This window comes from Homo sapiens, chromosome 1 (genome assembly GCF_000001405.40).
Source record: "Homo sapiens chromosome 1, GRCh38.p14 Primary Assembly".
In the NCBI taxonomy this organism is placed as follows: Eukaryota; Metazoa; Chordata; class Mammalia; order Primates; family Hominidae; genus Homo; species Homo sapiens.
Genome location: NC_000001.11, coordinates 173,537,923 through 173,558,937, shown reverse-complemented (window position 1 = coordinate 173,558,937; position 21,015 = coordinate 173,537,923). Strand labels below are relative to the sequence as shown.

At 39.0% G+C, this 21,015-nt stretch overlaps 1 protein-coding gene across 15 annotated transcripts in view; it reads left to right on the top strand.

The window, feature by feature from the left end:
• Positions 1–21,015, top strand: part of SLC9C2 (solute carrier family 9 member C2 (putative)) — a 102,613-nt gene that overhangs the window by 44,135 nt on the left and 37,463 nt on the right. For 14 of the 15 annotated variants that reach the window (XM_047418170.1, XM_017001074.2, XM_047418169.1 and 11 more), the window contains 4 exons: positions 1,430–1,598; positions 4,124–4,205; positions 10,386–10,549; positions 11,154–11,249. In XM_047418170.1, the coding sequence (XP_047274126.1) occupies positions 1,430–1,598; positions 4,124–4,205; positions 10,386–10,549; positions 11,154–11,249 (511 nt within the window). Of the gene's footprint in view, positions 1–1,429; positions 1,599–4,123; positions 4,206–10,385; positions 10,550–11,153; positions 11,250–21,015 lie in introns of those variants that run through there. The other variant, XM_017001076.2, reaches the window with a different exon arrangement.

Below are 21,015 nucleotides of genomic sequence, written 5' to 3'. Positions count from 1 at the left end.
CTTTTCCAAGGTCAAATGGCTAGTGAGTGCCAGAGATCTTGCTGAACTGATGGTTCCACATCACTAGAGGAAAGGCTTTAATGGAGGGAATTATCCTTAAGTTGGCCCTCGAAGTGTGTGTGGGTTTTCTGTAAAGACTAGAGAAAAATATTTCAGAGAGGATGAGCCAAGATAGAGAAATGGGAATACACGAACATAGTAAGCATTGCTGATTGAATATTTTGTATGGATACATATGTATCATATATAGTCATAATTATGTATTGATAATGTATTGAGTGCTGACCACCTGCAAAGCATCATTCTAAGCCCTGAGTATTGCCTTATTTAATTGAATTACCACAATAATCCTTTGAGGCAAGTACCATTGTTATTATCTTCATTTTACAGATGAAGAAGCTGAGACAGAGAGATTAACTTGCTTATGTAGTTATGCAGTTAGTAAAAGGCAAGGCTAGATTTAACACAGGTAGGCTGACTTCAGAGTATTTGCTGTTCTGCCTCCCTGTTTTTGATATCAGGAAATGACATAAGTTGTTTCTATTTTGGTTGGACTCTGATATTTTAGGGAAAGGTTATTTAGTAAGCCTGAAAAGGTTGGTAAGAGTCACGTTGCAAAAGGCTTGAATGCAAGGCAGAGGAGTTTGCCCAAATAATTATATACATTATAGGTGGTAATTGTAGATTTTCTGTTTCTCAATGACAGGAATTCTCTAAATTGACTTGTGCAATTATAGTTGATCAACTGACACACAATATTTTTTTTTGAGGCTAAGAACACATCTGTTTTCACTTTCGCTGAAATTTCATTTGTTCTAAATCATTTGAAGTACAGTATTGATATTCTCTCACTGCCAGTCCCTTAATGATAGATTTTAAATTTTGGCACAGGGTCGTATAGAAAAGTAATCTGGAGGGCAAGAAGGCACAAATTAAAATTATTTGTGTGACATTTAGCGTATGATTCTTGTGGGAGCTCAATAAACTTTTTTTATTATTTATTGTTTATTAATGTGCCCAAAATAATTTTACATTTGAGTCATGATCTGCACATGCCCCCATTATAATTTTTGAATCCAGTCATGTATGGCTTTTCAGGGAGTAGATGAGCTTGTCAGCATTCTTAGAAGAGGTTTCCCTGTGAGCATTTACTACCCAATTCCAAACAGTATACAGTAGTGTTGATGATAATTCCTTATATTTGTTTAGAAGGTCTAGCATTATTTTTCAAGACTTAAGTGTTATGTGCAAACTTTAAATAGTAGATTTGGTTAGTCTCAGAAAATTGGAAGGACTTAACAGTAAATTGCATTGTTTTTTTCTTTCCCGAAAATTTTTATATTAAATTTAGTATTTAGTACTTGCTTTCAACTATGAATAACATTAATAAACAAGGTGAGATTTATTTTTAATGTTTCCCTCTCCACAGGTTGCTTACTATTTTGTTAGTGAGCCCTATTTTGATGCATTCAAATTATGAATATAATTGGCGATGGGGAGTTGTAATCACGTGGTCTGGAATTAAAGGAGTTTTTAATTTACTCTGGGCTCCTGATGTTTATAATCTCGCTGAACGAAAAGTGGAAGTACCACAAATGGTAGGAAAGATCATGTCTCATGATTATTCATATTTATCATTTTTACTTATCTTGCCCACTTGTCAGAGAACCCAGTAATAAAGTTAACCAGCTTTGAATTAGATTTTTAAAATGCATTCTTTTAAGTAGAAAGGAACAGAGCAGAACGTTATTTATGTTGAGAATGTGAAAGGGACCAATAGTCATGGAGTAGTTATGGATGTGGTATTAGATAAACTTGGGCTCTGATCTGGACTCCACCATTCACAGGCTGGGTGATCTTGAGGAAGTTCCCCAGGCTTGCTGAGCTTCAACTTTCAGTTGAGAATTGAGATGATGCTCAATAAAATACCAGACACTTAATAAATGCTCAATAAATGTTATTGAACACATACATGCTATTTTCTTTTCTTTTTTCTTTTTTTTTTTTTTTGAGACAAGATTTCACTCTGTCACCCAGGCTGGAGTGCAGTGGTGCAATCTTGGCTCACTGCAACCTCCGCCTCCCAGGTTTAAGCAATTCTCATGCCTCAGCTTCCCAAGTAGCTGGGATTACAGGTGTGCACAAACACATCTGGATTATTATTATTATTATTTGTTATTTTTAGTAGAGACGGGGTTTTGCCATGTTGGCCAGGCTGGTCTCGAACTCTTGGCCTCAGGTGATCCACCTGTCTCGGCCTCCACTCAAAGTGCTGGGATTACAGACGTGAGCCACCAGGCCCGGGTACAAATGCAATTTTTCAATAGCCATCAGAAAGCATGAAAAAATGATACTCTTGTCAGGAGCATTCTAATCCTTATAGTTCTTAGAACAAAAACTGAAATGCTAGTTAAGTATACCAAGATAAAAAAGATTTTATATATTTTTACATTAAAGATCTAGTTAGGTTTATGTCTTTAGGGCTAATTTTAAAAAATTTATTTCTCGAAAAATTCTGGGCAAAGACTCCATTATCTGTATCACAAAACAAAACTTGGTTTCCTTTCCACTCTTTCTCAAAGCCTTTCCCCATGGGTTAGCTGGTAGATTTCTGGGGAGTCTGGTGGTGGCTGCATCTGACATTCCAGGCAAGATTCAAAGAGCCCAGTGCATCTGCTGGCCGTGCACCTTGTCATTTGTGACAGCACTATGAGCTAGCTAGAGAAGTTTCCAGAAGCTGCTAGAAATCTTCAGGATCAGCCTCTCATTACCTCCTAATCAGATGAACCCCAGATCTGTTTCTGGGAGGGGGAAAACCGCTTGAATGATATGAGCTCAAGAGCACTGACTCACCTACCAAGGAATCTGGAGGTAGATGTACAGAGTTTGTTGCTATTGTCTAATTTCCATCCTAGAACTTCTCTTTACTATTTTGCTGCTGCCCCGAAGTCCCAAGGAGTACAGTATTTATTTAATACCTTCTTTTTGGGAGCAACTATTGACCTCTCCATCTTGCATGTGGAGAAATCCAATCAAAGAGAGTAGTAGCCTTCTGTATGTAGCATGAGAGGGAAAGACCTCACGTGCCCTAACTCCCCAAACAGGAAGTGCTATTTTTGATGGAGTATCATATTCCTATTCCTCACCACATTTTTTTTCTGAGGATTTATATCTGTGGGCCCGATCTGGGCATGAATTTTGAGTTCAAATAACCAGTGGTTTTGCAAAGACTTTGGTTCTTTCCATGCTCCAAAAGAAAAGTAAAATAATCAACATTACAGCTCCTCCGATTCTCTTTTATGCAAGGAATTGGCCTAAAACCAAGTCAATGAGAAGTTAACTAGCACCTGGGCATCATTTCACAGTGTTTCTTAATTCTGTCTGGTGTTAAGAATCCCACCCTAGACCTACAGAATCACAACCCACAGCGGGAGTCAGTATGTTTAACAAGCACTTCAGGTGATTGTTGTTATTAGTCAAGTGTGAGAGACACTGGAGGAGAAATTACTATTAACTCCTCTTTTCAGTGAAGGATGCTGTGGCTCTGAGTGGTGGTTAAATTAACTGCCCCCCAATCACATGGCTAAGAAATGGCAAAGTCATGGCCTACAAATATTACCTTTCTCCTTCCGCACAGCATCTCTCCAGGCCCCACCACAGCTCCTGCCTTCTCCTTCAGAGCCTCTGGTACAGCCGTAGCAAATGCTGGTGGCAGGCACACATCCCTCTGTGGCCCACGGTCACCACCGCCTGTGGTTGCTGGGCTTTCTCCCCACCCTGCAGGTTCCACAGCCATGCCTGAGATGGCTACCACCGTGCTGTCTTTGCATGACTGCTGCCAGGAGTGGCAACTGTGGAGACCTCCTCCCTGTGTCCTTAGCATAGAATCTCCAGTCTACTGTTTTCCTCATTCAGATTGAAAATTAATGTCTGCCCCAGTGTAGTGTGTTCAGGCAATGTCCACAAAACTGCCTTTTTGCCTTAACTGACTTATCAGAAACAGGATTTTAAAATGTGGATTAAGATATTAATAGAATTTTGTAAGTGGCTAATTGAACAATGATTGCTTTTGGAGAACTTATTTAATGTTTTGGTTCTAACTATTTATGTGCTTTGTTTTTAGTTTATACTCTATGTACAAGTAATATCATTATTGACAATGGGAATAAATTCATACGTGATGACTCAGTCAGCCAGGAAGTTAGGTAAAGTATGTGTCTCATTCATGAATTAGCTGGGGAGAATAATACAAACAGGTTATTGTTGGGTGTCATGGGGACATTTCTCATGAAGCTCAAGGAATTGGTTTAGAAATTATTCATTTTTCATTTATTCATATATTTAGATGCTGTATTACTTGGGATATTGTTTCAGCCAGTTTAACAAAAGCGAAATGAACAGAGGCTTAAACAAGACAGAAGGTTTTTTTTTCCCTCCACCAAAAAGTCCAGAAGTGTGAGATGGTTCTACTCTACATAAAGTTGTTTAGAAATCCACGTTCCTTTCCTTTGATTGCTCTTCCATGCCCTAGGGTGCTGCTCTTGCCCACAGGGTAGAAGCCTGCTCACTACCACCATGTCTACAATCCAACCAACTAGAAAGGGGAAATGGTGGGGGAGGGGTGTGTGGCAATGGAGGGTAAGCAGCCTCCCTCTGTATGTATCATTATCACTCACATTCCATTGGCCAGAACTTAGTCACATGGACACACATGGGCAAGGGAAGCTGCGAAATATCATCTTTCCGGGCTGGCGATATGATCAGCCAAAACTTGGAGATTCTATTAGCAGAAGGAAGAAGAAGAGAATGGATGTTGGGAGATAACAGCAGGCTCTGCCACAGTTGGTTATTTCTAAAAGGAATCTCAGGCCATTTATAATAAAATGCATAAATATAATAAAATAACAAATAGACACATTCGGTAGAGAAATCCAGGATAAGATACTTGGTGGCAGTAGGTTCAAGGGGAGAGGAGAAAACTGGGGTGAGATTAGGCAAAGTCTTATCGTAGAGCCTTAGTATAGTTCAATATGCCATGGCCTGATCCTCAGCTTTGCTGCTACAGAGACCCGATTTTGTCTGGGTATTTAAAATTGATCAGACTACTAGAGATTTACATATCAGGCATAACTTGGAGATATTGCAGGTTCAATTCCAGACCACGTGACAAAGCAAATAATGCAATAAATATCACAATAAAGCAAGTCATACAAATTATATGGTTTCCCAGTACATATAAAAGTTGTGTTTACACTATACTGTAGTCAATTATAATCAAAAGCACAGTGTCTAAGAAAACTATTTACATACCTTAATGAAAAAATGCTTTCTTGCTAAAAAAATGCTAACAATCATCTGAGCCTTCAGCAATTCATAATCTTTTTGCTGGTGCAGGGTTGATAGCTGCTGACTGATCAGATCAGGGTGGTGGTTGCTGAAGATTGGGCAGCTGTGGCAATTTCTTTAAGACAACAGTGAAGTTTGGCACATCAACTGACTCTTCCTTTCATGAAAGATTTCTCTGTAGCATGCAGTGCTGTTTGATAGCATTTTACATAGAGTAGAGCTTCTTTCAAAATTGGAATAAATCCTCTCAAAACCTGTTGCCACTACTTTAGCAACTAAGTTTATAAAATATTCTAAATCCTTTGCTGTCCTTTCAACAATGTTCACAGCATCTTCACCAGGAGTAGATGCCATATCAAGAAAGCACTTCGTTTACTCATCTGTAAGAAGCAACTCCTCATCCATGCAAGTTTTATCCTGAGATTGCAGCAATTCAGTCACATCTTCAGGCTCTACTTCTAATTCTAGTTCCCTTGCTATTTCCACCACATCTGCAGTTACTTCCTCCACTGAAGTCTTGAACCCCTCAAAGTCATCTATGAAGGTTAAAATCAACTTCTTCCTGACTCCTATTAATGTTGATATTTTGACCTCCTGCTATGAATTATGAATGCTCTTAATGGCACCTAGAATGGTGAATTCTATCCATGAGGTTTTTTATTGATTTTCCCTACATCCATCAGAGGAATCACTATCTATGACAGCTATAGCCTTACAAAATGTGTTTATTAAATAATAAGGCTTGAAAGTCAAAATGACTCCTTGATACTTGGGCTGCAGAATGGATGTTGTGCTGGCAGGCAGGGAAACAACATTCAACTCCTTGTCCATCTCCATCAGAGCTCTTGCATGACTAAGTGTATTGTCAATGAGTAGTAATATTTTGAAAGGAATCTTTTTTTTTCTGAGCAGTAGATATCAATAGTGAGCTTAAAATATTTAGTAAACCATGCTATAAAGAGATGTGCTGTCATCCAGGCTTTGTTTTTTCATTTTTTAGACCTCAGACAGAATACATTTAGCTTAATTCTTAAGAGTCTTAGGATTTTCAGAATGATAAGTAAGTATTGGCTTCAACTTAAAGTCACAAGCTGCATTAGCCCCTAACAAGAGTTAGTCTGTCCTTTGAAGCTTTGAAGCTAGGCATTGGCTTTTCCTTTTTAGTAATGAAAGTCATCCATAGCATTCTATTCCAATATAAGGCTGTTTATCTGCATTGAAAATCTGCTGAATCTACATTGAAATCTACATTGAAAATCACCTTCATCAATGATCTCAGCTAGATCTTCTGGATAACTTGCTGCAGCTTCTACATCAGCACTTGCTCTTCACTTTGCACTTTTATGTAATGGAGATGACTTCTTTCCTTTAACCTCATGAACCAATCTCCGCTAGCTCCTAACTTTTCTTCTGCAGCTTCCTCACCTCTCTTAGCCTTCATATAACTGAATAGAGTTAGGGCCTTTCTCCAGATTAGATTTTGGCTAAAGGGAATATTGTGTTGGTTTGATTTTCTATTCAGACCACTCAATCTTTCTCCATATCAGCAATAAGGCTGTTTTGCCTTCTTACCATTGGTGTGTTCACTGGAGTAGCACTTTTAATTTCTTTCAAGAGATTTTTTTTTCCACTCACAACTTGGCTGACTAGTGCAAAAGGCCTAGTGCTTGGCTTATCTCGGCTTTCAACCTGCCTTCCTCACTGAATTCAATCATTTCTAGTTTCTAATTTAAAGTGAGAGATGTATGACTCTTACTTTCACTTGAACACTTAGAAGCCATTGTAGGGTTATTAATTGGCCTAATTTCAATACTGTGTGTCTCAGGGAATAGCGAGATCCAAGGAGAGAGCGAGAGAGAGATGCAGAAATGGCCAGTCTGAGGGGCAGTCAGAACACACACTTACTGATTGTTGTCCTATGTGGGTGCAGTTTGTGGTGCCCCAACGCAATTACATTAGTAATATCAAAGACTACTGATCACATATCACCATCATGGATATAATAATAATGAAAAAGTTTGAAATATTGTGAGAATTACCAAAATGTAGACACAGAGATATGAAGCGAGGACATACTGTTGGAAAAATGGTGCTGATAGACTTGCTAGATGCAGGGTTGCTGCAGACCTTCAATTTGTAAGAACTGTAATATCTGCAAAGCACAATAAGGTAAAGCACAATGAGATAAGGCATGCCTGCACCACATTCACAGATTCATCAATAAACCAGAAGGCCGATTTACTAGTTTATAATGAGGATGAATTTCTATGTCTGAAATTTTTGTGACCATTATCACAGTATTCACCTCTGATACCAATTTTCTTGATAAACCAAATTGGTAATCAAAAGGTTTCTCATAGAGCATGGAACTAATGAGGGCAAAGGAAGGATAATGTTGAAGGAGAGTTGTTCTAAATATGGAAGTAGCCTGCTATATTCATCCTGTCCTACTCAGAGACAACACTGCTCTGCTTGGGTGTTTTCAGAAAGTCCTGCACATTCTTAGAACTGTGCCTCATAAACACTATTGCAGAACTTCCTGTGACAGCCCACCTCAAAGCAAAGGGCTCCAATGTTTGAGTGAGGCTAGCACGTGGGGCAGATTTTAGGCAGCTCTCCTTTTCCCCCAGTTATGGACTTGCTCCCCTCCCCTCCCCTCCCCTCCTCTTCCCTTCCCTTCCTTCTCTCTCTCTCTCTCTCTCTCTCTCTCTCTCTCTCTTTCAACGGCTCACTATCTTGCCCAGGCTGGTCTCAAATTCCTGGGCTCAGCCTCCAGAGTAGCTGGGACTACAGGTGCTTACCACCCCACCAGGCTGTGTTTGTTCTTCTTCATTTAAAAAAAAAAAATGATACAGGGCTGGGCGTGGTGGCTCACGCCTGTAATCTCAACACTTTGGAAGGCCAAGGCGGGCGGATCACAAGGTCAAGAGATCGAGACCATCCTGGCCAACATGGTGAAACCCCGTTGCTACTAAAAATATAAAAATTAGCTGGGCATGGTGGCGCATGCCTGTAGTCCCAGCTACTTGGGAGGCTGAGGCAGGAGAATCACTTGAACCCAGGAGGTGGATGTTGCAGTGAGGCAAGATTGCACCACTGCACTCCAGCCTGGCGACAGAGTGAAACTCCTCCTCAAAAATAAATAAATAAATAAATAAATAAATAAATAAAATAAAAAAATAAAAAAAGATACAGGATCTCATTCTGTCACCCAGGCTGCAATGCAGTGGCACGATTATGGCTCACTGCAGCCTTGACCTCCTGGACTCAAGTGATACTCCTGCCTCAGCCTCCTGAATAGCTGGGAGTATAGATTTGCACCACCACACCCAGCTCATTTTTTTTCTTTTTTAGTAGAAACAGGGTCTGGCTATATTGCCCTGGTTGGTCTTGAATTCCTGGGCTCAAGGGATTCTCCTGCCCTGGCATCCCAAAGTGTCGAGATTATAGTTGTGAGCCACTGTACCTGGTCTTGGTTTATTCTTGTTTGCAGTGAAAAGGTGTGCTTGGATTGGCAAAAGCTCACAAGGCAGCATGAGTGAAGTTAATTTGATGCCGGAAGTCTTGCTCACACTTTCCTTCCTACCAAATCCCTTTGGCTGCCAGGGATCCTGACCCAGTTGACTCTCTTTTTTTAAGATAAAATATGTGGGTTTCTCTCATGCTTCCTTTCTTGTGATTCCTCCTACTCTGGTATTCAAAAGTGAGATCAGTGAGGGATTGTACTATCATGACAATGCTTTTTTTGTCTTGTTTCTTTTTTTCCCCTCTATAAATTTTTGATTGTATTAACCAAGCTTCAGAATTTCTTTTAACTCACTGTGGAATAAAGATTGTATAGCAAGTACTTTATCTTTTCAGAGTCAATGTTCATCGTTTCTAGGAATACCATGTGGTACACATTTAACAGGTGCTTGTCGGACTTGAGTTTTATCAGTCAGAGTTTCAAACCAACTCCTTCCACCTGGTCTAATGCTTTTAAAAGGTCCCTCCTCATATTCTTCCAGGATTATCTTAACCACTGGGAGTATATTCAGATGTACTGGTGCCACCAAGTAGCCTACATGCCTTCATATTTCCCCTGAGCAACTGGAAAGTGGCTGTTGCCCCATCATATGGGTGGGATCTAATTGGGCAAATGAATACATTTTCTCCTTGTGTGGTCTTAGCCATGGGAATTTTAAATCCAAGGGAGCAGGCAGTCAGATGCCTCTTTGCTCCAGGTTACAGTGAACTGATCCTGATGTTTGAGAGGGATATCCCTACAGATCTTTCTGAATCCCCAAACTTCAAATCACTCCATTGTACGCAGTGTCCCATAGAGAGTGAAATAAAGTTAAACTGAAACGTTTAGAAGCCATTTAACCCTTGAAGAGACATTTCATATGCAATTTTAAGGAGAGAACAGCTTTATTGAGATGGAATTGTGAGTAAGTAGGCTAAGCTTATTTACTCATTTAATTCTTCTCTTTGGTAAGTGAGCCTTGTAGTTCATACCTCAAGAAAATACAAAATGCTTCAAATTTTGAACATATTGATTCACTGGCCAGAAAACAGAGATGTTAAACTTGAGGGATCTCTACTGCACTGGCCTTTAAATGTTATTATGTACAGTATAAGAAACAATGAGAGAACTTGTTAAAATGCAAATTTTCAAGCCAATCTGATTCTGTAGGTATGGAGTGGAACCCAGGAATTTGCATAGTTTAATAGGCAGCCCTTCCACCTGTACACTTTACACTTTGAGAAATATGGATTAGGTGCGTTGAAGTAGTCATGTCTTTAGCTATAGGGAAAGCAAGGAAACTAATAAACATTTTTTATCAGTTGAGTCAGATAAAGTTGAGCTGTACAGCCAAAAAGAAACAAATAGTTGGGTAATCTTCTGGAAAGTTTTGTATGAAAAATTGTCCTTGCTCTAACCACTCTGGTTTGCAGGTGATCTCAAGATTTCACTACATGATCATGCAACATTTTTTGCTTTCCCTTGCAGTCCTCACTGTACTCTATTAAGGCCTTTGCTTTTGTCTTTGTCACAGATTTGTGTGTTCTTTCCCTCCCAAGACAAATGATCTTGCAAAATGCCACTCAGCACATACAGGAGATAGTACAGAACACAATAACTTTATTTAAAACAGAAAAAATTTTGACAAATGTTAACTGGACCTTAGTAGAAGATAAAACGAGGATCGAATACATTCCTGTGAGTTGATACCTGGCAAAAAGTAGTTTTCCTTTCCTTCCCTTGGTCTGCCTCACTTGCTTTAGCCTATTGTTAAAGACCTGATTCTGCTAATTAAATGTCACAAAACTGAGGGGAGATAGTTACTGGCTTTGCTATTTTGGTGAAATGAGTTTGAATTCTGTCTCCAAAGAGAAGGTCTTGGTTATCCAGCTTTATTTGCCAAATACCAGGAGAATGGATGTTTTACAATCTGGCTGGTTGAGTACCAATCAATGGCCTCTGCCAAGATAATGTTTTTAATGGCTTAAGATACTGATAATTCTCTCCTGGTAGAAGTGTTATAAAAAGCAGAAAACATGGGCTGATTTAGAGAGCAATCAAACATATAGATAAGTTTAGAGAAGAATTTGGGATATAAATCTCCCCAAATGAGTATTTACTTTAGCACAATTGAAGGCAACACTTCTTATATGAAAAAACATTACATAGCTCTTCATTCTAGCAATTCTGCTTTGAATTATTGGAATCTTTGTTGAGAGTAGTATTTGCCAGTTCCTAATCATTTTTACTTATTTTTAACTTTATCCCTTTATGTTTTAAAATGTCATCTGATACGGTTCAGTTTTCCCACGTTTCACATAATGATATGAAGACAGAATCCACAACAGATGAAGCTTTAATGGAGGAAGCCAGATTGCATGTAGCTGCAATACAAATGGTTGGTGCTGTTCACATAATGTTTTAAAATTTCCTTTCTTGCAATGTCTTTGATCCTTGCATATGATTTTCAGATGACTTGAAAACTTTACCTTCTCATAGTCTATTGATTGTTAAAATTAATGTGTGATTTGTTAAAGTTAAAAAATAAAAAAATTCTCCTTCTTCCTGAGGCTTGAAGTTTAAGTCACAAACCTTATTATCCTGTTTCTATGTCTGGCAAATTTTAGCAGTCACTTTTGAGGGCCCTTAGAATAATGTTTGGTGCTATTTACATACTAGATAATTAAACATTTTCAAATATTTAAAATTGCTTTTATAAATTTAACATATCTGAGTTCCATTTATACGAAATTCTCTCAAGTGCTAATTTAACTGTTAGAGATATAATAAGCTAAAATATATCTGATGAATCAAAAATTCTCTTGAAATGTTGTAATACTAATATTTAAATGTTCTATATAAATATAGGAAGATTACCTGGTAAAATCAAGTTTATACCAGCTTGTCAAATTGTACATTTTAAACTGGAGTTATAATCAAATGGAACAAATTTTATTCAATATAAAATGTATATAAAATATGAATTGTGCCCAGAATTCTTTTTTAGTTTCTTTTTAAAACTTATTGTCAATATTAAGAATTCCTAACATATGCAAAAGTAGATAGAATAGTGTAATAAATCCTCATGTACCCATCACCCAACCTTAAAAACCATCCACATGTGACCAATACCTGCTGCATCCTAACCCCCATCTTATGTATTAGTCTGAAACAAATCATACATCTGTAAATATTTCAGTATATATCTCTAAATTTTAAAGTATTTTTAAAAACATAAAATACTAACATTATACTTAAAAGTGAACAATAATTCCTTAATAACATCAAATGTCGACTCAGTGGTAAGATTTCCAATTGTCTCAGAAATGTGATAAATATTTATTTTTACAGTTTATGTTTTCAAATTGAACTCCAGTAAAGTCCACACATTGCAATGAACTGATATGTCCTTCAAATCTCTGTTAACATATAAATTTCTTCTTTTTGCTTTCATTTTTTTCTGTTGAAGAATATATTTCTTCTTATTTATTTATTTTATTTATTTTGAAACAAAGTCTGACTCTGTCATCCAGGCTGGAGTGCAGTGGCGCGATCTTGACTCACTGCAACCTCCACCTCCTGGGTTCAAGAGATTCTTGTGCCTCAGCCTCCCTGGTAGCTGGAATTACAAGTGCGTGCCACCATGCCCAGGTAATTTTTGTATTTTTAGTACAGACGAGGTTTTGGCACCATGCCCAGCTAATTTTTGTATTTTTAGTAGAGATGAGGTTTTGGCACGTTGGCCAGGTTGGTCTCAAACTTCTGGCCTCAAGTGATCTGCCCACCTCACCCTCCCAAAGCACTGGGATTACAGGTGTGAGCCACCGCTCCCAGCTTGAAGAACATATTTCTTCTTAAGAAATTATTTTCATTCTTTTAAACATTTCTATACTTAGTTTAACATATTCTCAGAGTTTGAAAGGCTCTCGTCCACAGTAGAAAATTACGTATGGCCACAAATTCTTTGCAGAGCCTCCTATTAAAAAGTGGTATCTTTATCCTATCCCTTGAATTGGGGCTGTTCTTGTGATTTGTTTTGAGCATAAAATATGGCAAAAGTGGCTTTGTGAACGTTCTAGAGCCTAGGCATTGAGAAGATTTGTAGCTTCTACCTTTTTCCCACTCCGAATGCCACCCTGAGACTGCCATGCAAAGAAGCAGTCTCTGAAGAATGAGAAGCCACCTAGAGGAAAACTGAGGCAAAAGGGCCAGTACCTAACTTCCAGACTTGTGAATGAGGCTGCCTCAATTCAAGGGGTGGGGCAATAGATTCAACCTCTTAATAGTAAGACATGCACAGAATTTGTGGCCATATTTACTGTTCCACAGTTTGCCCACTGGCCACAATATTTCTACCCCTCCGACATGTAAAACAGACTCACCCTTTTCCAAGAACCCAAAAAGCTACATCCTATTTACTACCAGACTCAAAGTCCAGTATCTTATGATCTGCAATCCAGGCGAGAGGCTCCTTGGTTGCCTCTCCTGAAGTGTGAGTCTTCTTGATCTAGATACCTGTGAACTAAAAAGAAAAGTTATCTGCCCCCCAGACACCCAATATTCAGTGATGATCAACAGACACTACTGTTTAAGAGGGGGAAGAATGGGATGGCCTGAGAAATTACGTGTCCATGGCAATTCTGAAATCCATCTGGGCACACATACCAATTCTCCCCATTCTTTCCGTTTCCATAGGAAATAATCCATGCTTGTAGCCAAGTGGCTTTCTCAGTTTGATTTCTGCCTGTAGAAAACTGGGAGGTTTATTTATATTCACTTAGAACTGTCTCCGTCCCTTTTTGTCCAATCTAGCACAATTACCGTAAAAATTGTTTGTTTTCCATGACTCTGGTTTAGTCCGCCCCACTTCACAGTTTCTTTTCAGGTAGACTGTTGACTGTATCAGACAATGCAGATATGAGTCTGAGGAGGCCTTTAGTCTTGTTGAGAAGGTAGATGAAATACGACCTTGAATCTTTGGGTGGTCTTAACAAAGGGCCTTCAGCCACACCCTTGATTTGATTTGGAAGCAGAGGCCATATTTTACTGGCAGCACCCTGGATTTGGTCTTTTTTTTTAAATTATACTTTAAGTTCTAGGGTACATGTGCACAACGTGCAGGTTTGTTACATACGTATACATGTGCCATGTTGGTTTGCTGCACCCATTAACTCATCATTTACGTTAGGTATTTCTCCTAATGCTATCCCTCCCCCATCGCCCTACCCCATGACAGGCCCTGGTGTGTGATGTTCCCCGCCCTGTGTCCAAGTGTTCTCATTGTTCAACTCCCACCTATGAGTGAGAACATGTGGTGTTTGGTTTTTTGTCCTTGTGATAGTTTGCTCAGAATTATGGTTTCCAGCTTCATCCATGTCCCTACAAAGGACATGAACTCATCATTTATTATGGCTGTATAGTATTCCATGTTGTATATGTGCCACATTTTCTTAATCCAGTCTATCATTGATGGACATATGGGTTGGTTCCAAGTCTTTGCTATTGTGAATGATGCCTCAATAAACAGAGTTTGCATGTATCTTTATAGTAGCATGATTTATAATCCTTTGGGTATATACCTAGTAATGGGATGGCTGGATCAAATGGTATTTCTAGTTCTAGATCCTTGAGGAATCGCCACACTGTCTTCCACAATGGTTGAACTAGTTTACACTCCCACCAACAGTGTAAGAGCATTCCTAATTCTCCACATCCTCTCCAGCACCTGTTGTTTCCTGACTTTTTAATGATCACCATTCTAACTGGTGTGAGATGGCATCTCATTGTGGTTTTGATTTGCATTTTTCTGATGACCAATGATGATGAGCATTTTTTCATGTGTCTGTTGGCTGCATAAGTGTCTTCTTTTGAGAAGTGGCTGTTCATATCCTTTGCCCACTTTTTGATGGGGTTGTTTGATTTTTTTCTTGTAAATTTGTTTAAGTTCTTTGGAGATTCTTGATATTAGCCCTTTGTCAGATGGGTAGATTGCAAAAACTTTCTCCCATTCTGTAGGTTGCCTGTTCACTCTGATGGTAGTTTCTTTTGCTGTGCAGAAGCTCTTTAGTTTAATTAGATCCCATTTGTCAATTTTGGCTTTTATTGCCATTGCTTTTGGTGTTTTGGTCATGAAGTCCTTGCCCATGCCTATGTACTGAATAGTATTGCCTAGGTTTTCTTCTGGGTTTTTTATGGTTTTTAGGTCTAACATTTAAGTCTTTAATCCATCTTGAATTAATTTTTGTATAAGGTGTAAGGAAGGGATCCAGTTTCAGCTTTCTACGTATGGCTAGCCAGCTTTCCCAGCACCATTTATTAAATAGGGAATCCTTTCCCCATTGCTTGTTTTTGTCAGGTTTGTCAAAGATCAGATGGTTGTAGATGTGTGGTGTTATTTCTGATGCCTCTGTTCTGTTCCATTGGTCTATACTTCTGTTTTGGTACCAGTACCATGCTGTTTTTGTTACTGTAGCCTTGTAGTATAGTTTGAAGTCAGGTAGTGTGATGCCTCCAGCTTTGTTAGTTTTGGTTAGGATTGTCTTGGCAAGGCAGACTCTTTTTTGGTTCCATATGAACTTTAAAGTAATTTTTTCCAATTCTGTGAAGAAAGTCATTGGTAGCTTGGTGGGGATGGCAATGAATCTATAAATTGCCTTGGGCAGTATGGCCATTTTCACGATATTGATTCCTCCTATCTATGAGCATGAAATGTTCTTCCATTTGTTTCTGTCCCCTTTTATTTCATTGAGCAGTGGTTTGTAGTTCTCCTTGAAGAGGTCCTTCACATCCCTTGTAAGTTGGATTCCTAGGTATTTTATTTTCTTTGTAGCAATAGTGAATGGGAGTTCACTCATGATTTGGCTCTCTGTCTGTTATTAGTGTATAGGGATGCTTGTGATTTTTGCACATTGATTTTGTATCCTGAGACTTTGCTGAAGTTGCTTATCAGCTTAAGGAGATTTGGGGTGAGACAATGGGGTTTTCTAAATATACAATCATGTCATCTGCAAACAGGGACAATTTGACTTCCTCTTTTCCTAATTGAATACCCTTTATTTCTTTCTCTTGCCTGATTGCCCTGGCCAGAACTTCCAACACTATGTTGAATAGGAGTGGTGAGAGAGGGCATCCCTGTCTTGTGCCAGTTTTCAAAGGGAATGCTTCCAGTTTTTGCCCATTGAGTATGATACTGCTGTGGGTTTGTCATGAATAGCTTTTATTATTTTGAGATACATCCCATCAATACCTAGTTTATTGAGAGTTTTTAGCATGTAGGGCTGTTGAATTTTGTCAAAGGCCTTTCCTGCATCTATTGAGATAATCATGTGGTTTTTGTCTTTGGTTCTGTTTATGTAATGGATTACGTTTATTGATTTGCATATGTTGAACTGGCCTTGCATTCCAGGGATGAAGACACCTTGATCTTGGTGGATAAGCTGTTTGGTGTGCTGCTGGATTCAGTTTGCCAGTATTTTATTGAGGATTTTTGCATTGATGTTCATCAGGGATATTAGTCTAAAATTCTCTTTTTTTGTTGTGTCTCTGCCAGGCTTTGGTATCAGGATGACACTGGCCTCATAAAATGAGTTAGGGAGGATTCCCTCTTTTTCTATTGATTGGAATAGTTTCAGAAGGAATGTTAGCAGCTCATCTTTGTACTTCTGGTAGAATTTGGCTGTGAATCTGTTTGGTCTTGGACTTTTTTTGGTTGGTAGGCTATTAATTATTGCCTCAATTTCAGATCCTGTTATTGGTCTATTCAGCCATTCAACTTCTTCCTGGTTTAGTCTTGGGAGGGTGTATGTGTCCAGGAATTTATCCATTTCTTCTAGATTTTCTAGTTTATTTGCATAGAGGTGTTTATAGTGTTCTCTGATGGTAGTTTGTATTTCTGTGGGATCAGTGCTGGTATCCCCTTTATCATTTTTTATTGCATCTATGTGCTTCTTCTCTCTTTCCTTCTTTATTAGTCTTGCTAGCGGTCTATCAATTTTGTTGATCTTTTCAAAAAACCAGCTCCTGGATTCATTGATTTTTTGAAGGTTTTTTATGCCTCTATTTCCTTCAGTTCTGCTCTGATCTTAGTTATTTCTTGCCTTCTACTAGCTTTTGAATTTGTTTGCTCTTGCTTCTCTAGTTCTTTTAATTGTGATGTTAGGGTATTGATTTTAGATCTTTCCTGCTTTCTCTTGTGGGCATTTAGTGCTATAAATTTTCCTCTACACACTGCTTTAAATGTGTCCCAGAGATTCTGGTATGTTGTGTCTTTGTTCTCATTGGTTTCAAAGAACATCTTTATTTCTGCCTTCATTTTGTTATTTAACCAGTAGTCATTCAGGAGCCGGTTGTTCAGTTTCCATGTAGTTGTGCAGTTTTGAATGACTTTCTTAATCCTGAGTTCTAATTTGATTGCACTGTGGTCTGAGAGACAGTTTGTTGTGATTTCTGTTCTTTTACATTTGCTAAGGAGTGCTTTACTTCCAACTATGTGGTCAGTTTTGGAATAAGTGTGATGTGGTGCTGAGAAGAATGTATATTCTGTTGATTTGGGGTGGAGAGTTCTGTAGATGTCTATTAGGTCCACTTGGTGCAGAGCTGAGTTCAAGTCCTGGATATCCTTGTTAACCTTCTGTCTTGTTGATCTGTCTAATATTGACAGTGGGGTGTTAAAATCTCCCATTATTATTATGTGGGATTCTAAGTCTCTTTCTAGGTCTCTAAGGACTTGCTTTATGAATCTGGGTGCTCCTGTATTAAGTGCATATATATTTAGGATAGTTAGCTCTTCTTGTTGAATTGATCCCTTTACCATTATGTAATGGCCGCCTTTGTCTCTTTTGATGTTTGTTGGTTTAAAGTCTGTTTTATCAGAGACTAGGATTGCAACCCCTGCTTTTTTTTTTTGCTTTCCATTTGCTTGGTAGATCTTCCTCTATCCCTTTATTTTGAGAGTATGTGTGTTTCTGCATGTGAGATGAGTCTCCTGAGTACAGCACACTGATGGGTCTTGACTCTTTATCCAATTTGCCAGTCTGTGTCTTTTAATTGGGGCATTTAGCCCATTTACATTTAAGGTTAATATTGTTATATGTGAATTTGATCCTGTCATTATGATGTTAACTGGTTAATTTGCCCTTTAGTTGATGCAGTTTCTTCTCAGCATAGATGGTCTTTACAATTTGGCATGTTTTGGTCTTTACTCTTAGATCTTTGCCAGCTGTAGAAACCATAGACGAGAAACATGTTTACTTTCCAACCTGGCAAACCATGGCTTCTATATTTTGTCTAAGTTCTGCTTTAAGACTGAACTATTTCTCTTTGGTTTATCCCTGTCTCTGTCTTTCTCTACCTTATCATATGAAGCTAACAAAAAGCAGTACTTTTAATGTTCCTGGAATATTAGAAATCTAGAAATCCTCTTAGCAGATTCATGAGGTACATTTTCTGTCTTCCGAGTTGCCTCAGGTGACAGCCTGGCCAGTGGTACTGCCTTTTGATAGCATGGCTGCCTCCCTCCAGCCTCCTGCTACAGTTTCCCCACTGCTCTTCCAGCTTCCACTAACAGTCTTCTCACTGCCCCCCTACCCTCTGCCCACCACCCAGTTCCAAAGCTAATGCAGTATGTTTTAATTTCTGGAGGCTCTCCACAATTGATACTGATTTTTCCTGTTTTAGTCAGCGTCTGCTGTTTAACCAAGCAACCCAGACCTTGGTGGCTTAAAGCAATGATTTATTATTTCTCATGGTTCTGTGTGTTGGCAATCCAGGTGATTCTATTGTTGGTCTCGCTTTGGATCACTCTTATGCCTGTGGTCATTTCCTAGATCAGCTATGGTTGGAGGGTCCAGGATGTCCTCACTCGCAGGTTTGGCAGCTGATGCTAGTTGTCTTCCAGGGTGCTTTGTTTCTCCCCTCTATGGCCTATTCTGTATAGTTGGCTGGACTGGGCTTCTTCACAGCATGGTCTCTGGGTTCCAACAGGGTGAGAGGGGAAGCCACAAAGCCTCTTAAGTTCCAGGCTCTGGAGCCTGAACAATGTCACTTTTACCCCCATTTTATTAGTCAAAGCAAATCACAAAACCAGTCCAGAGTCAATGAGTAGAAAAGTAGATTACACCTCTTAATGGGGAAACAGCGATGCCAATTGCAAAGTGGGCATGGACACAGAGAGGCATGACACACTGCAGTCATTGTTATAATGACCTACCACATTTACTTTTTTAAACCAACAATCCCATGGAAGGACTTGCTGCATGCTATTTTTGAATAGCTTTCCTAAGAGTACCTTCTACTCTGGCATTCTTCCTGTGTTTATGACCCCTTTCCTTTTCAGTCTCCTCTATGAACTCTTTTTAACCCTTTAATGTTGGTGCACCTCAGGACAATTAACTCTGTCCACTGTTCTTATTTTATAGTCTCTCCTTCTTTAGTCCCAGCTACACTCATGATTTTAACACTATGCATAGATGCTCTACAAATCTGTAATCTTCCTTCCATACCTTTCAACACCAGCTCTTTAGACTCATGAATCCAGTGGTGGCTAGACAGCTTCTCCTTTCACTCTACCTCAAATCCATATTGAACTCATCCCAAGCCTACTGTTATATTCCAAGTGTTAGTGAATTAGACCATTGGTTGCTGGAGTCAGTCCTCTTCCTCTATCCTTCTCCAAGCTCTATCAATCTTACCTTCTAAATGTTTGTCAAATACACCCCTTTCCATTCTTGTGAATCTTAATTTAGGCCGTCATAATCTCTTGTCCAGACGATAACTTTCAATTGGTCCCCTTGTCTCCAATATTTCCATTCTCAAATTATAGTGACTTACTAAAAGACATGTGACTATACCTCCTTCCTGCTTAAAACCCTAAATGACTCCTCAGTGCCTACATTTTCCATTGTGAGTTTCAAAGAACACTTGTTCCATGGGATGCTAATAGAAACTGCATGAAAAAAGAAGTTTCCATGCTCAAATTAGTTTGGGAAATGGTGGCTTAAATAAAGTTAAATGGGTTTCTTTTAGAACTTCTTGTAGAACTCTTCAGAATTTTTAATATGCTGATATACATTGAGATTCTCCAAGAGAGACTATAGAATGCAACATTTTCTTACCCTTTCCCCTGCCCTGCATAGTTTTTCAGGGATTGGGGTTGAAGGAGTATCTCACAGAATGTGTATATCACATTCCAAGAAAAGTTTACCTATGATATTAAGTCAAAGCACAATATACAAGGTATTTTAAAATCTGGCCTCTGACTGTTTCTCTAACTGATGCTCTGCCCCACAACTTGTTTTTTACTGCACTCAGCATACTGTTTCTCACCTCTGTACGTGCACTAGAGATGCCACCCTCTGCCTACCTCTTTCTTCACTCTGCTCGCCCCACGACCATTCTTCATCTGGATAATTGTACTTCTCCTTAAAACTCAGTTGAAGTATCATCTCCTCCAAGAGAAACTCTCTCTGATCCCATCTCTACATCAAGTCTGATTAACACCCTGTGCTGAATGTTATCCCCTTAATTTCCTGTTTTATCATATAAGCATCTAACTTTTCCCCTGCCCCACTAGATTGTGAACCCCTTAAAGCCTTGGACTATACCTCCATTGCCCTAAAACAGGGCTTGGAACAGAGTAGGCATTTAATAAACATTTGTTTAAAGGATGAATGAATAAATAAACAATCCATCATATTAGTAAATCATAATTTTCTTGATCCAGGCCTACTTCTTGATGGGCAGGGCCGGAAAAACTGCAAGTGTAAACACTGGAGGTAGGCCTCAGGACTGAACTTCTGGGACATAGTTTTCTCACAGTGGACATCCTACCAGGGCCATCACGGAGGCTTACAACGTAGGGAAATCCACTAAGTGCTCCAGTAGCCCTCAGAGTAGAGAGAGCCTGGCCATTGCCCCATACCGTTTGGAAGGCAGTTTCAGAATTTGCATATCCTTTATCAAAGCTGTTACTGGTGGATAATTTTTCTGTCTTCTGGAAAAGGAGCTAATGAGTGAATGAGAATTGTCTTGAGATATAAGTGGTGTGAATTCTCTCCTTTCCTGAAATGACTATCATCCCTCAAATTTTAAGACTTGAGAAAATGTGTTAAATGCAGTAGTGGTTGGAGTCAACATTTCTAAACAATGGATAGGCAAAGTGTATGGTC